This window comes from Homo sapiens, chromosome 8 (genome assembly GCF_000001405.40).
Source record: "Homo sapiens chromosome 8, GRCh38.p14 Primary Assembly".
Lineage (NCBI taxonomy): Eukaryota > Metazoa > Chordata > Mammalia > Primates > Hominidae > Homo > Homo sapiens.
Window position 1 is genome coordinate 68129895 of NC_000008.11, and position 17784 is coordinate 68147678.

Sequence of the window (17784 nt, forward strand, 5' to 3'; positions counted from 1 at the left end):
AAAAACCCTCAAATTCTCTGTTTTTCTTCTTTTGCTAGTAGCTGAAAGCAGATGTGATTTTTGCTGTAGTTCTTTCTTATTCATAAAAAATAGGAAATGAAGGCAGTGTGCCCTGGTCCATGTTTATAATCCCAGCACTTTGGGAGGCTGAGGATGGAGGATTATTTGAGGTTAGGAGTTTGAGACCAGCCTGGATATCATAGTGAGGCCCTGCCTCTGCAAAAAAAAAAAAAAAAAAATTAAAAATTAGCCAGATGTGATGGCACACACCTGCAGTCCCAGCTATTTGGGAGGCCAAGGTAGGAGGATCTCTTGAGCCTGGGAGTTTGAACCTGCAGTGAGCTATGATCGTGCCACTGTACTCCAGCCTGGGTGACAGAGCAAGATGCTCTCTTAAAAAACAAAACAAAACGAAACAAAAACACACAAAAAACCCAAAAATACCTTTGGTAAAGGATGGATACTTGTAAATTTTGAATGGTTGCATAATTGAAAGAAAAAGACCTGGATATTTTTGCTGAGAGTTAGTAGATTTTGTTGTATTTATGTAACAAATTGCTCCTTCTCCATGAGCAATAAAGCTGAGCACCTACTCAGTGCCAGACACGGTGCTAGATGCTAAACAAAAAGAAGAATCACAATGATAATGCTACACCACTTTACTTTGTTAAGTGCTTTAAATACTTTTTATCTCATTTATCTTTACTGTAGACCTAAGAAGGAGGAATGAACCCCATTTTCCACATGGGGATCTGATACCTAAAATATGGCTTAGAATGGTTGGTTGAAAGCAGATGATATGCCTCTAAGGAGGGTGAGCCTAAGTCACAGGCCACTTCTCTGGCCTTGATGTACTGATGGTTGCTTGGGAACACAGACTCATAAATGAATGCCCACTGTGCTATATAATTAGCCCTCCAGTAGAAGGATACCCCCAGGTCTATGGTGACCAGAAGAAGAGCCCCAGTACTTCCTTGGGGAGAGGGGAATTTCACAAGGGGAGATAATCTTTCAATGAGTTTCAATAGTTTGATGAGTTGACTCTTAAAGATTGATTTAAAGTTTGCTAGGCAGAGGAGAAGGACAAGGGCATGCAATGCATCTGGAAGAAAGGTATAGGCCCAGTGTACGCCATAGGGCATTTGGTATTTGAGGACTGCTGAGCGGTACTGTGTGGCTCAAAGAGGACAGGTCTGTGTACCCCACACTTCTGACTGCTTTCAGATATGTTGTTTTAATGTGCTCTCCCAATAATTCTGTGAACATTGTTGCTGTAGTGTGGAATGAATGGAGGGAAGTGGTATGTTGAGAAGCTGTAAATATAAATAGGGGATAGGTCACAAGGTCCCGCTTATGCCACTGTTTTCTAACTTTGTTATTCACTGTGAGATGATGGTTTGTAAAAAGTTAACTTGAAAAGCTCTTGATATAATATGTACATTTTGAATCTGTGCGAACAATTCATCTACTCTCTGCTGAAAATAGGAAGGTGGCAACAGAAAATTATCTCATGAAATATGAATTTTTATTCAATATGGCTGAGGCCCCAGCTTGGATCCTCTAGTAGTTGTTGCAGCTGTCAATTCCTGTAGGGTATTCATTCAGTGTTAAACATTTGAATTGGTGAATGAAAATAACTACAAGTTATCAACAGGCTTTGGTTTTGCACACTGAAAAGTTGACGTTAATTGCAATCAGTTCTGATTTGATAAAGAGGTTGAAGGAAAAATCTTATTTTGGCTTAAATGCAAATAGTATATAGTAGCAGAGTATAGAATAAACATCTAAGTATTCTTTTTAGGATAAAAATAGAAAAGAACTTTTTCACAAAAGAAACTTGGAAATAATTATTTCTACCAGTGGCAAAGTTATTAATCCTGGTGATTTTTGTGAAAGCTTACAGTGCAGATCCTTCTTTCTCTAGATTTTTGCTTTTCACTCAATATCCATAATTTCTTTCCAATTAGATTTTTATTAAATCATTTTCAAGGTATGGGTGGGAGTATTTCTGCCAAATCTACTGAAGTATTTTTAAAAATTCACCCAGATTTTCTGCTTCACTATAGAACATATGAAAAACAAAGTAATAATTTTCAACAAAGATGTAGGGCAATTTATTTTACTTATTTAGTTTCTGTCGTGAACCTCAGTACCCTAGGTGCACACTGGAGCTAACAAGCTATCTGAATTAGCCTCTTAAGTAAAATTAAATCCAGATATTTCAAGAAACCAGAGAATGAACTCATGTCTTTTCATTTCACTTTTTTATTTATTTTTAGTGCCACTGACTCTTTATTTTAATCATTGACTTAGTAAACATTTGTTCAATGTCTACTGTGATAGAAATTGTGCACAACAAAATAGGTGTTTAGTTTTTTTTCTTGAGGATTGGACAAAGTTCATTTCCAGTTTAGAGATTTTATAGTTATCTATAAATGCCCTTTCCTATCTAGTAGCATGGGGCACATGTTGTTGGTTAAGTTAGTAAATTGAGCCATATGGAATGGCCACATTCCACCATTTTAACCTACCAAAGCAGCATGTTTCTATAGTTGAGCCTAATAAGTGAATATTCAGATACAAAATTAAATATTTTAAATATTTAATTATCTTTCTAATAAAATTTTCAAGAGTAGGTTTTACAGTGAAACCGAGTATCATAGAAACTAAATTATGTGTACACATGCCTTTGATGGTTATTAAAAACAGATGTTCAGTGTTCTTGGTAAATCTTAAAAATTATGCCTTTTTTGTCAATAAAACAGGAGCTCACCACTGAATAAAGTCAGCATTTATCTCTGTGTTATACACTAATATTGACAATGCTTCTTTATTCCAGAAGAGTCTATGAACCCTTGAAATATTTAGTACACATTTGAGAGGAGGTTATTTTTCCCTTTGTTGTTTCCACTTCTAGTGGAAGTGATTTTCCAATATGTGGAATGTGTGGCTTTGTGTTTCTGTAGTTTGTATATATCCAACCACCTGAAGAAATGAACTCTGTGTGTTAGCTTCTTTCCGTTTGAAAAATCTCTAGTTCAGAATTTCACAGTGTAAACATATCTTCAAAGTGGGTGTATTGGTCTATTTTCTCACTGCTATAAAGAAATACCTGAGATTGTGGGTACTTTATAAAGGAAAGAAGTTTAATTGACTCACAGTTATGCATAGCCAGGAAGGCCTCAGAAAACTTAGAATGGGAGAAGGCAGAAGGGGAAGGAGGCATGTCTTACATGGCGGCAGGCAAGAGAGAGCAGAGAGCGTGTGTGTCAGAACACAGGAAAAACTGCCATGTATAAAACCATCAGATCTCGTGAAAATTCACTCACTATCACAAGAACAGCATGGGAGAAACCACCCCCATAATCCAATCACTTTCCGCCCGGTCTCTTCCTCAACACCTGGGGATTACAATTCAAGATGAGATTTGGGTGGGGACATAAAGCCTAACCATATCAGTGGGTTAACCAAAACTCCAGTCAATTGCAGGATAAGAATCCTGGTAAACATATACAAATCAATTCATACTAAAACTATAAATATATTACTTATTTGAAAGAATTATAGGAATTCATATTCTTATATATTAGAACATACTTATAGCTCATGAAATTTAATAACTCCATTCAGGAGAGACAGATTTGCTTATAATTGCAAACAATTGAACATCGTATACTCTTTTTCCCCATGTGTATTTCACATTAGTATTTGAGTAGGTTTAGTTGTTAATTTTTAAAATTGTATTAATAATATTGTATCTAATTTGCCAACAAAAACTGACGAATTGGACTTTGAGTTTTGTTTAGGAAAATGTCATTGCAGCAAATGCAAATTGTGTCCCATCAGGTATAGAAAATATAAATAAATGAAGCCTTATTTTTCTCCCTCAGATTTTATCAAACAATTTAATGATTCTAGAATAGAGTCACAATATTGATTAGGAAAAAATATTTTAATATTTCTAACGTTTTTTGGTGTTTAGTGTTTTCTGTAAAGCATATTTGCTAGAATGTGTGTGGTCATTTATAGAGCTCAAATTCACATTTTTCACATGCGTGAGTTTAGTGAAAAGATGAAATGCTAGTGAATGTAGATGCTGAACGCATTGGTTTTCACCATCTGCAACATTTTTCGAAGCATTCTCTATGTTCTCTTTGATCACAGATAGTGAGACACAGCTCCGTAGAGACATGGTTTTCTGCCAGACTCTTGTGGCCACTGTCTGTGCCTTCTCTGAGCAGCTCATGGCGGCCTTGAACCAGATGTTTGACAACAGCAAGGAAAATGAGATGGAAACTTGGGAAGCCAGCAGGAGGTGGCTGGACCAGATAGCGAATGCAGGTGTTCTTTTTCACTTTCAGTCACTTCTGTCACCAAACTTGGTAAGGAAATCACATGACTCCCACTGTCTGTGTCAACTGTAACCTGCACTGTAACATGTTTTGAAATAAGAAGTAGTTATTTCTTTCCCGCTGGTTATCTCTATGAATGTGCGTGCATTCAGCTACTTTAAAAATATACATTTTTCTGTGGTCCTTCAAATTTTAATAAGTATGTAGAATGTATTCCTTCTTTCCTGATTTGTATCTCTTCTCTGTGGCTGCTAAAAGCTGAGAAAGCCTCCATCTGTTACTAATTCTTGTATCCCTACACGCTGACTGGAGAAGGTCATCAGAAGAAAAAGGGTCTTTCTGCTGCTGTTCCTTATTCCCAGTCGAAGGACACAGGCTGCTGTGAAACCAAAGCTCCTATTGAGATGGATGTCCTGGAGCAGGCTTGAGAGCCAAGCTTGGAGAGCTCAAATACCATACTGCCTGACAATCTGTTTAAAATTTGCATATGTTAAATAATTTTAGTTCTTTTCTTTGTATGCATGTTTGTCCTGTTAAATCGAAGAGCATTGCCTTAATTACTGTAGAATATTCTATGTTTATGCATTGGGTTTCCACAGTGGATATGATGAAAGCATCTTGAAATATTTGAAAAATAAAACTGTGGTGAACTTAAGAGTTTTTTCACGTATACCTCCTGTGGTTTGGATAGTTATCATCATGTTTAAAAGCAAATGTGTTCACTTTAATATATAAATGTTAGGTGATCACTGAATAGAACTGTGATTTTAAACATGAGAGCCTATTTCATCTGTTAAAGTACACATAGAAAATGTAGCTACCAAGTAACATGTTTGAGCTTAAAAACAAATTTTGTGTGTGTGTGTGTGTGTGTGTGTGAATTACATATGATAGGAAGCCTACTTTTTAACACATGGTAGGCATCAATTATCTGTTGAATGAATGTGTAAATGAGTAAGGCTTTATTTTATTTCTATTCTATTTTCCTTACTTTTAAACTGCCATTGTCTAATCAAGTGCCGGTGCTTTTACTTTAATTTTATTGGAAATCTCAAAGAATATGAGAAAATATTTACAAATCATATATTTGATGAGTGACATATGCAGAATATATAAAGAACCCTTAAAATTCAACAGTAAAATGACAAATAACCAATTAAAAAGTAGACAAAGGATTTGAATAGATATTTCTCCAAAGATATAAAAATGTCCAAAAAGCACATGAAAAGATGATCAACATCATTAGCCATTAGAGAAATGCAACTCAAAACCACAGTGAAATACCACAATGCATGTGATATGGATGGCTGTAATACAAAAGACAGATAGTAATAAGTTTTGGGGAGGATGTGGAGAAATTTTGTCACCCTCCTAAGTTGCTTGTGGGAAGTGGCACAGCCATTTTGGAAACTGGTTTGGCAGTTCTTCAAAATATGAACCACAGAGTTTCCATATTACCTAGAAATAGGATTTCTAGATAATATCTAAAATAAATGAAAACTTACATTCACACAAAATCTTGTATGCAAACATTCCTAGCAAGATTATTCATAGTAGCTAAAAAATGGAAACAACTTATATGTCCATCAACTGATGAATGGATAAACAAAATGTGATGTGTCCATATAATGGAATATTATTCAGCAATAAAATGGAATGGAGTACTGATACATGCTACAACATGGATAAACACTGAAAGCATTATACTAAGTGAAATAAGCCAGTCACAAAAGACCTCATATAGTTTGATTCCATTATGGTGAAATGTACTAACTAGGTACATTTTAGAGGCAGAAAGTAGACTAGTGGTTGCCTACAGCTGATGGTTGGGGGCAGGAAAATGAGGAGTGAATACTATTGGGTATTGGTTATCTTTGGGGGTTGATAAAAATATTCTAAAGTTAGACAATGGTGCTAGCTGGACAGCTCTGTGAATATAGTAAAACCCCTGAGCTATACATTTTAAATGGGTGAATTTTACAGTATGTGAGTTATATCTCAATGAAGCGGTGTGGTTTTTTTTCAACTGGTCTTGTGAAACCCTTAAATTTATTTAAGGAATTGATTTTAAAAAGAAAATAGAGAGGTTGCTAAGGAAAGAAAAATTCAAGAAACCCATAGTCTTTCTGCTTCTGTCACAAAGGCAGAAAGAAAACATCCACCCAGGAATGTGAATGGCTCTAGGAGCAGCGCTCTGGTGGTCTGTGTGCCCCTGAGTGCGAGGCACAGCCAGTGGTCACTTGGGCCTGGCTTTGGCAATGTTTGCTGGAACACCATGGCTTGTGCTGTAGCTCTCAAAGGCCACACTGTCTGGAACATTTCTTGCTTTGTGAATTTCTGTCTACCGGAAAATGCACTGATTCTTCAGTCCTGTCCTTTCTTTCTAGGGTCATGACATTTTTTTGCTGCTTCAAAAGGATTTTTTTAAGATAATGGTTTAATAAACATTTTTCCAGTACTTACTGTGTACTGTGCACTATATTAAACATCACACCAAGGTACAAAGGTGACAGTTCTTCCAACCTCTTTGTGTCTCCACGCTGCCCTCCTTTGGGGTCTGGGGCTACCTCCACTGATTCTTTTTCACAGAATGGAAATTCTTTACCACCTCCTTCATCTTCTACTGATGCTGCCCCCAGATTTGGCTACGAGGTTACAGCAACTTTTTTTTTTTTTTGAGACAGAGTCTCACTCTGTCACCCAGGCTGGAGTGCAGTGGCGCAATCTCAGCTCACTGCGACCTCTGGCTCCCAGGTTCAAGTGATTCTCCTGTCTCAGCCTCCCAAGTAGCTGGGATTATAGGTGTGCACCACGATGCTCAGCTAATTTTTGTATTTTTAGTAGAGACAGGGTTTCACCATTTTTGTCAGGCTGGTCTTGAACTCCTGACCTCAGGTGATCCACCCATCTCAGCCCCGCAAACTGTTGGGCTTACAGGCGTGAGCCACCATGCCTGGCCTACAGCAACTTTTACAAATGCTGTATACAACATGTTAAACTAACTGTTTAAAAGGATCATTGACATTTTATTTTTTTTAAGAGATGGGGTCTTGCTCTGTCGCCCAGGCTGGAGTGTAGCAGTGCAATCTTGGCTCACTGCAGCCTCAACCTCCTGCGCTCAAGTGATCTTCCCACTTCAGCCTCCCAAGTAACTGGGAGGTTACATAGGTGCATGCCACCATACCCAGATAATTTTTTGATTTTTTGAGAGATAGTGTCTCACTATGTTGCTCAAGCTGGTCTTGAACTCCTGGGCTCAAGTGATCCTCCTGCCTCGGCCTCCCAAAGTGCTGGGGTTACAGGTGTGAGCCACCGTGCCTGACCATTGACATTCTTAAGGAAACAAATATTACCTTTAGAAGATAAGCTATGTATGACAAAGTTAATTATATTTTCATGATAAAACTATTAAAAGACCCTGTAAATAATGCATTAAACTCCTAATAGGAAGGCCAGAAGCTAGTACCAGAAAGATGACATCACTGAGACACACACTAACTTTTTTAATGTCTGGGCCTTACTTGCCTTAGCTATAAAACTATATGCTATAAGAATGAGACGAATGATTAAAACAAACCAGATCTGTTACTCACAAGATTCTAGACTAAGACGCCATAAAGCCAAGTGAGGTGAAAATGATTCTTGCTCCCAAGCTCGTTGGAAGCCAAATAATCACACATTAAAATTGATTTTAATCACAGTTACTAAATATAGCAAATGAATATGAATAAGTTATCTCATTATAAAATAGGATAGCTATTATGTAGTTTGTCTTTTAAATAAAACAACATTTTTGCTTTTCAGATGTTATAAGATTTTAGAAGTTTAGATGCAAATAGCATGCTTTTTGTGTTCTGTAAATAATAAATGAAATCAATATGATTAGAATCCAGCTACATAATAGACTGAAAAATGTGTGTATAACATAACCATTTAAACAATAGAGAAAAGGGAAAATATAAAACCATAAAAGAAACTTGTAACTTTAAGAGATTTGTTCATTTCATTTTGGGCAGTAAATTATTACAGAAGTCTTTATAATTTTGTTTTGTACCTGTATATAAATAAAACACAGCAAAGTTGTTTTGGTCTGAATTTACATTATGTCATGTTACGTTATATTGCTTTATATCATCTTGTATTATATATTGTTTTTCTTTCTTTGTAGACAGATGAACAAGCCATGTTAGAAGATACACTGGTTGCACTATTTGATTTGGAAAAGGTTTCCTTTTACTTTAAACCATCAGAAGAGGAACCTCTGGTTGCAAGTAAGTAATTAGGTATTTACAAAATTTATTTGGCATCAAATAATTATATATGATATAACTTTGGTATTAATATATTTGATAAGTATTTTATGAACTGAATGATTGAAATGTATCCTTTTGATTTAGAAATTTTCCATCACTAATCTGACAAAGGCAGTATTTTAAAAGTTATATATTCAGATAAGTAGCAATATGTATGGTTTAATGTCCATATCTTTTACTTTCTGCAAGTTATCATTATCTACTATTTCCACATTCCCATAAATATAGTTAAAATATATCTATCAGTCTAAGAAATCTTCAGTAGTTTGTTATTATTTTTATATGTCTCTTGTTTTTTCAAAAGTATGAGTATCGTGTGTATTAGGCTAGAAGGTGTAAGCTTCTTCAGGTTTTATTTCTCACATTCCTAATGTCCAGTACAATAAATAAGGACTCCATACATTTTCATTTGATCCATGATCTGACTTAAGATGATAATCACTCATTTATTCATGTATCAAAAGCTCCTTAAATGCCTACTTCTTGCCAAGACTATTCTTGGTGTTGGATTCAGTAGAGAACTAAACAGATAGATATCTCTTATGGGGCTTAAGTTAAGGTGAGGAGAGATAAATAATAGGCAAAATAATTTTATAATAAATTAGAAGGCAATTATGTGAAAGATATATAGGGAAACAAAAGAGAGCAAAGGATACCAATGAAGGGGCAGATGGAAGGTTGCAGATAATGAATGGGGTAGCAAGGAATCTTTACCTAAAAGGAGAGCAGGCCCTGAAAAGGTTGAGGGAGTAATGGCGATATCGGAGGAGCAGTGTCCCAGGCTCACTGGACTCTGAGGCTGGGAGCAGACATGGCATGCTCTCAGGATAGGAAGTTGGCCTGCATAGGTGGAGTGGAGCAAGTGAGGGGAACAGAAAAAGAGATGGAAACAGCAAGGAGGCCAGACTATGAAGGGCATGCCAGCTGTTGAAAGAGCTTTGCTTCCTAACCATGACATTGAACTGATGAATTACGGGATGTGTGTTCCATATTAAAAGGCTGTCTCTGACTGCTGTGTTAAATAGACTATTCTAGGACCAAGGGCAGAAGCCCAGTGATCAGTTAGAAAGCTACCTCTCCCAGGTGGGAGAGGATGGTGACTTGGCCTGGAGGGTAGCTGTGGAGATTATTTAAAAATAAAGCAATGTCAATGCTGTTTAATTTATGAAAATAGAACAGAATATTATTAAAGTTTCATTTCCTCTGATGAATGAGGAAGAGAACAAGAAGCACAAAGTTAGAAATTTAGGTTATATTTATTCAAGAATTTTTCTGGCAGAGGGTATTTGATAAGGATAATATTATTTGAACAAATTGTGTGGTTTTCTGTGGATATGTATAGAATAGGATATATTTTCATTTACTTGAATAATGTGGGCATAGTTTTGCTGAAGGCAGAGAGAACTCTATTTTTGTGATATAACCTGATATGTTGTTTAAAGTTTTGCCTGAGGAACTGTAAGTTCATAGGAGTACTGTTTTCCATGGTTCTCCTATGACATTATTGGCAAATGGTCTGTTGAACAAGTAGGAGAAGAACCAATATCATAAGCTTGATAAAATACTTCCTTACTGCATATCTACTGTGAAAGACTTAACTTTGGAACACACACTAAATATAAAAAATAATTGGGACCATGTAAGCAATAATAGTATGTAAATGTAGATGTCACTATAACAGATACAGGCATTCTGAATATATTTGGCAATACATTTTAATGTGTCTCTTCAAAGCGTAACCTCAACTTCTGAAAATAGTTCTCTAGTGAGGGGCTGGTTCCAATGCTGCACTATTGAACACTAAAAACAGCGAAGATAGGAATATAATTCTTATTTTAAGTTGATGCAGGAAATAAGAGAATTATTCTGTATTCAGAGGTCATCACATCTTATTTAAGTGGTGTAAGAAAATGAAGCTTTATTATGCATTGCATGTAGTTTGATCTTTCTGTTACTTAGATGTGGAGAAGTCAGATTCACTAATCCTGTATCACTGGGATGGAGACTAGTTGGCTGCATGCCTTTGAGGGAGGACTAAGCACAGAGATGGGGAAGCATGAAGGTGTAAAGACACCATTGGCTTTGAAGTCAAGAAATCCAGGTCCGAATCTTGGCTTCATTCTTATCTTTAAGCATGAGAACTATAGCTTTCCCTAACTCACAGGGTTGAGGGACTTAAATAAGATAATGTATTTGAAAGACTCTAGCATTACATATGGCTATACTAGTATTCAGTAAGTATTTGAATTCATCCTTCTTACTTTATTACTTTGCATTCTTCTCAAAAGCTATATTTATAGCATCGCCTATAATCTCACTTTTGCATGAAAAGAATAATGAGATTCTGAAGAATTATGGCATGCCAAGCAAGTAGAAGTCAAATATCTTGATTAAAGACAGTTCATTTTCATTGAAGAAATAATTATTAAATATATATAACATGCTAAGTACTGAACCAAGTTCTAGGGATATCATGGTGTGCAAATTAAACAAGGCTTTTTTGGCATGGAACTTAGACACTAATGAGAGATACAAGGAAGTAAATGGGCAATTTGACCACTTCGTAATAAGGGAAATACGAGGTGCTTCACACAATGTGAAGGAGTAATAAACTAGCTAAATGGTAAGTTTGTCTATAATTACATTTATTTTGTGGAAAATCTGCATCAGTTTAGGAGAATAATGTAATGACAGCAGGTCTTCTCCTTTTCAATGGTCATATGGGTCATTTTATAGTAGTTCATTATTAGGAGAATGAATATGTTTGAGTCCCCACTATCCTTATATGGGCCAGGCATTGTGCCTGGAGGTGTGGGTGCCATCATGGATGAGACATGCATGGTTCCTGTCTTCATGGAGCTGACAGCCTAGTTGGGAATAAGGAATTAGGAATCAATAATGAATGAGGAATGAATAATCAACAATCAATAAGAAATCAATATAAAAATAAAACTGTGATAAATCCTATGAAGGAAATAAGCAGATGCATAAAGAAAAAAGGCGAGGCAGCCCTTCAAGGGGTGACTGGTGGAGGATTCTCTGCAGAAGTAGCTTTTAAGCTGAGATCTGAAGCATAAGAAAGACCCAACCCTGCAGAAAGTCAGGGAAGAGCAACCAAGGCAGAGGGAACTAACAGCTTCTTAGTCAAAGACTTATTTTGAAACTCACGGGCCCATTCAATGATTAGAGGCTATGTTTACAAGGATGGGATGGCACTGTTGAAACTCCTCTGTGGGATGAATCCCTCTATAGGATGCTACCAGAGACCTTTTCCTCTTGCAATTTTTTGAAACTTTTAAATATTATATAGTCCTAATTATCAAGTTTGTTTTTTATAGCTAATAAATTTCCACAAATAAAAGGCAACAATTTTCAACTCCACATTAGTATTATGCACTTTTTAAAAAGCCTTTATATTTTTAGAGCAGTTTTAGGTTCACAGCAAAATTGAGAGGAAGGTACAGAGATTTTCCATACCCCTGTCCCTACACATGTACAGCCTCCCCAGCTATCAATAGCCCTCACGATAGAGGCACATTTCTTAAAATCAGTGAACCTATATTAGCACATCAAAATCACTCAAAGTTCATAGTTTACATTAGGATTCACTCTTGGAGCTCTACATTCCCTGGATCTGGACAAATGTGTAATGACATGTATCCACCATTATAGTATCATACAGAGTATTTTTACTGCCCTAAAATCCCATATGGATTGCCTGTTCATTCCTCCTCCCTCCCACTCTGCACCCAACCCCTGGCATCCACTGATTTTCTCTACTTTCTCCATAGTTTTGCCTTTTTCAGAACATCATATAGTTGGGATCGTACAGTAGGTAGCTTTTCAGATTGTCTTCTCTCACTTAGGAATATGCATTTAAGCTTCCTTCATGTCTTTTCATGGCTTGATAGTTCATTTCTTTTTAGTACAGAAGAAAATTCCATTGGCTGGATGTACCACAGTTTATCCATTCAAAGGACATCTTGGTTGCTTTTAAGTTTTGGCAATTATGAAGAGTGGCTATAAACACACATGTGCAGGTTTTTCTGTGGATATAAGTTTTCAGCTCTTTTGGGTAGATACCAAGGACCATGATTCCTGGATCGTATGTTAAGAGCTTCTTAGTTTGGCAAGAAAGTGCCAAACTGTTTTCCAGAGTGGCTATGTGCATGGAGACTGGTGAGAAATACAAAGGCATAAATGGGCAATTTAACCACTTTAGTGATAAGGAAACTACAAGGTACTCCCATATCATATTATTTAATTAGTGAGAGAGGACTAAACTAGCTAAAGGATTAAATTTTATATCATGAAATTTATTTTGTGGAAAATCTGCATTTTTCCCTCCAGTGATGAATGAGTGCTCCTATCACTCCACATCCTTGTCAGCATTTGGTGTTGTCAGTGTTCTGGATTTTGGCCCCTCTATGAGTGTATAGTGGTAGCTCAGTACGGTTTTAATTTGCATTTCCCTTATAACAAATGATAAGAGCATCATTTCATATGATTATTTGCCATCTCTATATCTTCTTGAAAGAGTTGTCTGTTGAGGTCTTTAGCCTATTTTTAAAATTGGTGATATAGTTTGGATGTGTGTCCTTACCCAAATCTCATGCTTAATTGTAATCCCCAGTGTTGGAGATGGGGCCTGGTGGAGGTGATTGGATCATGGGGGTGGATTTCTCATGAATGATGTTGTGCCTTCCCCCTGGTACTGTCTTCATGATAATGAGTTCTCATGAGATCTGGTTGTTTAAAAGTGTGTAGCATGTCCCAGCTTGCTCTCTTGCTCTTGCCATATGATGTGCCTGCTACCCCTTTCGTCTTCTGCCATGGTTATAAGTTTCCTGAGGCCTCCTCAGAAGCTGAGCAGATGTGAGCATCTTGCTTCCTGTACAGCCTGCAGAACCATGAACCAATTAAACCTCTTTTCTTTAAAAATTACTCACTCAGACATTTTTATGGATTAACACACTTTGATTGTTTGTTTTCTTATTGTTGAGTTTGAAGAGTTATCTGTGTATTTTGGAAGACAGTTTTTATCAGATGTGTCTTTTGCAAATATTTTCTCCCAGTCTGTTGCTTGTTTTCTCATTCTTTTGACAATGTCTTTTGCAGAACAGAAGTTTTACATTTGATGGGATATAGCTTATTATTTCTTTCATGGATTGTGCCTTTGGTGTTCTTTCTGAAAGTCATCAGTATTTCCAAGGTCATCTAAGTTTTCTCTTACATAATCTGGCAGGAATTGTATGGTTTTTCATTTTATATTTAAGTCTATAATTCATTTTGGGTTAATTTTTGTGGAGGATATAATGTGAGTATCTAGATTTATGTTTTTGCATGTAGATGCCCAGTTCTTCCAGAAACATTTGTTGAAAAGACTTATCTTTGCTCCATTGTATTATCTTTGCTCCTTTGTCAGAGATCAGTTGACTATATATATGTTGGACTGCTTCTGAGCTCTCTGTTCTATTTCATTGATCTATTTGTCTGCTCTTTGGCCAATACCATGCTGTCTTCATTACTGTAGTTTTATAGTAAGTCTTAAATTAAAGGAGTATCAGTCTTCCAACTTTGTTCTTCTTTTTCTATGTTATGTTGGCTATTTTGGGTCTTTTGCCTTTTCATATAAACTTTAGAATTAGTTTGTCACTATCCAAGAAATAACCTGTTGGGATTTTACTTGGTGTTTCACTGACATTGTTCATCAAGCTGGGAAGAAATGACACCTTGACAATAGTGAGTCTTCCTATCCATGAACATAAAATGTCTTTCCATTTACTGAGTTCTTAAAAATTTTTTTCATCAGTTTTTCAGTTTTCCTTATATAGATCTTGTAATATTTTATTAAAGTTATACCTAAGTATTTTATTTTGGGGAGGTGCTAATATAAATGGTATTATGTTGTTAATTTCAAATTCCACTTGTTCACTGCTGGTATATAAGAAAGGAATTGACTTTTTTATATTAACCTGTATCCTGAAACCTAGCTATAATTGCTTATTAGTTCCAGGAGCAGTTTTTTGTTGATATTTTCCTTTCCCAATCATTATAGTTTCTTTTCTCTTGTCTTGTTTTATTGCAATAGCTAGGACTTCCAGTATGATGTTGAGAGGAGTGGTAATGGGCTGGGTGTGGTGGCTTATGCCTGTAATCTCAACACTCTGGGAGGCCAAGGCTGGAGGATCACTTGATCCCAGGAGTTTTAGTGCTCTTAGTTTGAACTTCACTTTAAATTAATATACTTTATAATTTTCATTAAGTTTTAGTTCCTTGATTCCTAATATAACATCTTTATTTGTTCTATGTTAGTTCTATAATATGAAACTCCAACTGTTGTATCATTATCACTATTTTTCTTTCAATAACATTATCCATTTGTTAGCATAGAGGTTGCCTATATTGATGCCAAAGATGAAGGGTATGGAATTTAACACAAATTAAAATATATATGTGAGACAGTGTGTGAAAAGGGGAACTAGAGGATACGGATATTTAGTAGGTATAAATCTGTATTTTCTTTAGTGTCCATAGTTCTTTTAGTCTTTATTTTAGAAATCAGAAAAAAAAGATTTTCCCAATTATTCAAATGCTATTAATTTTCAACCCTTTGGGTGAGAAATCTGTTCATTCTCTTTTCTAAATCGAATGCTTCATGTCTTCATTTAAAAAATAGTAACAAAAATAAAATAAGTACTTTATATGGCATAAAGGAGATAAATAGATGTTAATGTCATGTTTCCCATATTGGTATGCAGAATTAAATAGATAGATTTAATAAGGAGCCTGGAATCTGTGATCATAAATGCCATTTAACCTTGAACTCTACTTTTATATACAGTTTTATTTCAAGAAGCAGGTCAGAAGTTATAAATACTGAGTGAGGAACATGTATTAAATGCCGATTACATTTGTTTGTCCTTAATTTTTAACTGGTTATTATGACTATTCAGCCTTTTAGGATGATTTTACATTCTTTTCTAGTGAGACAGAAATATTTGTCATGGATAAGTATCATCAAATGGAGAGGATTTATGGTAGCATTGTGAAATACTCCGACTGAAATTTAGTTTTCAAGTTGATTGGTTTTTTTTTAAGTAATTAAATTTAGGATCTTTGAAAATAGCTACAAGACTTGGGACAATTTTTAATGACTGTGGGGCATCAACAAAGGCTAATATATTTCCGATCTGGTGCTCAGGGAATAGAGCTTGCAGAACCCATGCTAATTTTGATAGTGGTTGCTATGTACTCAATTTCTTGCACACTACTTAAGAAGTATACCCCAAGGACTCATTCTGACTAAAATGTGAATGAAGCAGCTGCCCTGGGAGATTTTGATTCCAAACTATGTGTAGCTAAACACCTCATTTAGTTAAGTGAGACATCTGATATGTCAAAGTGTAACAAAGTTTCCTATTATGGAATTTTTATAATATAGTAACACATCCATTGCTTTAACTATTGAGAACTGATTTAATACTTTCACTGAATAGCACTGTATGTCGAATCCCAACTTGATAAACATGATCACGTTTAATATATTGGTGTCGAGTAATTCTCAGGATTCTTTCTGAAAGTTAACAAAAGTACCATCTAGCATATCCTTATTTTAGGAAGTAATATACTATTAAATATCATTTTAGATGTTCCTCTTACATATCAAGCAGAAGGAAGTCGGCAAGCTCTGAAAGTTTACTTCTACATTGATAGTTATCATTTTGAACAACTTCCTCAACGGCTGAAAAATGGAGGAGGGTTTAAAATTCATCCTGTTCTTTTTGCACAAGGTAAACTGTTTCTCTTTTGATGGCTGCTATACTTTAATTATTTTATCTTTATTAATGCTTTTATAAATGTGATTTTAACAGTTGGGATTTTTAAATTAATTTGAAAATATTATTTAGCCAATATATTTGCTTCTGGGAATGTTTATTAAGGAAATAATGCATGATTTAAATATTTACCAAATACAGTTGCAGCATTATTTATAGTGGAGAAATAAGACATGAGTGGTGTAGATAAAGATAAAATAATTTGGGTTAAATAAACTGCTTAAGTAAGTTAAATTATGGTAAAATCATTACAGTTTCATGGTTAAAATATTTTATGAGATAGAAAAAGTTAATATATGCATGCAGATTATTAAACAGAATTTATACTTTAGTCTCAATTATATCACACATGTATGTCTATACCTACATATATGTATGTTAAATGTTTTCAGTATCAATGGGTGGTTAAATTGATGCTTTTAAAATTCTTTATGTCAACTTTTCTTTTTGGTCAGAAAATATATATTCCTTTGTCATTTTGTTTTTTCCAAGAGTGACTATCAACATCTGCAGTAGAATAAATTAAGGTTAGCATGAGCAAGAAAATTCTTGTAGTGAGCTCTGTTTCTGAGGGAAGGTCTTGAATCTTTCTTATTTTGGGGTCATAAAATGCTACCTAAAAAAGATCAGAAGTCTTGATTATTGTGGCGTGTCCTCTAGTCTATTATTTCCCTCCACATTCTAAAAAAAATGTGTGTCATGTCACAAGATTGTATCAGTTTCTCTGAATGATACCATAGGGAATTTTATTTTTTTCTTCTTTTGAGTTTTCAAGAACTACATTGGTTTTGCTGTGGAATTTCAATGCTCTAATAAAAAATGAGAAGAGTAGAGGGAATAAAATGTATCTATCTATATAACTAAAGAATGGACAGGCATATGAAATCTAAATTCACTACTAAATGAAAATTTTGCATTATACCATGATATGGTTTGGCTGTGTCCCCACCCAAATCTCATCTTGAATTCCCGTGTGTTGTGGGAGGGACCTGGTGGGAGGTAATTGAATAATGGGGGTGGGTCTTTCCCATGCTCTTCTTGTGATAGTGAATAAGTCTCACGAGATCTGATGGCTTTAAAAATGGAAGTTTCCATGCACAAGCCCTCTCCTCTTATCTGCCACCATGTGAGACTTGCCCTTCACCTTCCACTATGATTGTGAGGCCTCCCCAGCCATGGGGAACTGTAAGTCCATTAGACCTCTTTCTTTTGTAAATTGCTCAGTCTTGGATATGTCTTTATCAGCAGCATGAAAACAGACTAATACATACCACGTGCATA

The 17784-nt window shown here is 35.5% G+C and overlaps 1 protein-coding gene across 2 annotated transcripts in view; it reads left to right on the plus strand.

Moving 5' to 3' along the window:
- Positions 1-17784, plus strand: part of PREX2 (phosphatidylinositol-3,4,5-trisphosphate dependent Rac exchange factor 2) — a 284987-nt gene that overhangs the window by 177849 nt on the left and 89354 nt on the right. For both annotated transcript variants that reach the window (NM_024870.4, XM_047422267.1), the window contains exons 32-34: positions 4165-4382; positions 8521-8623; positions 16315-16458. In NM_024870.4, the coding sequence (NP_079146.2) occupies positions 4165-4382; positions 8521-8623; positions 16315-16458 (465 nt within the window). The remainder of the gene's footprint in view (positions 1-4164; positions 4383-8520; positions 8624-16314; positions 16459-17784) is intronic.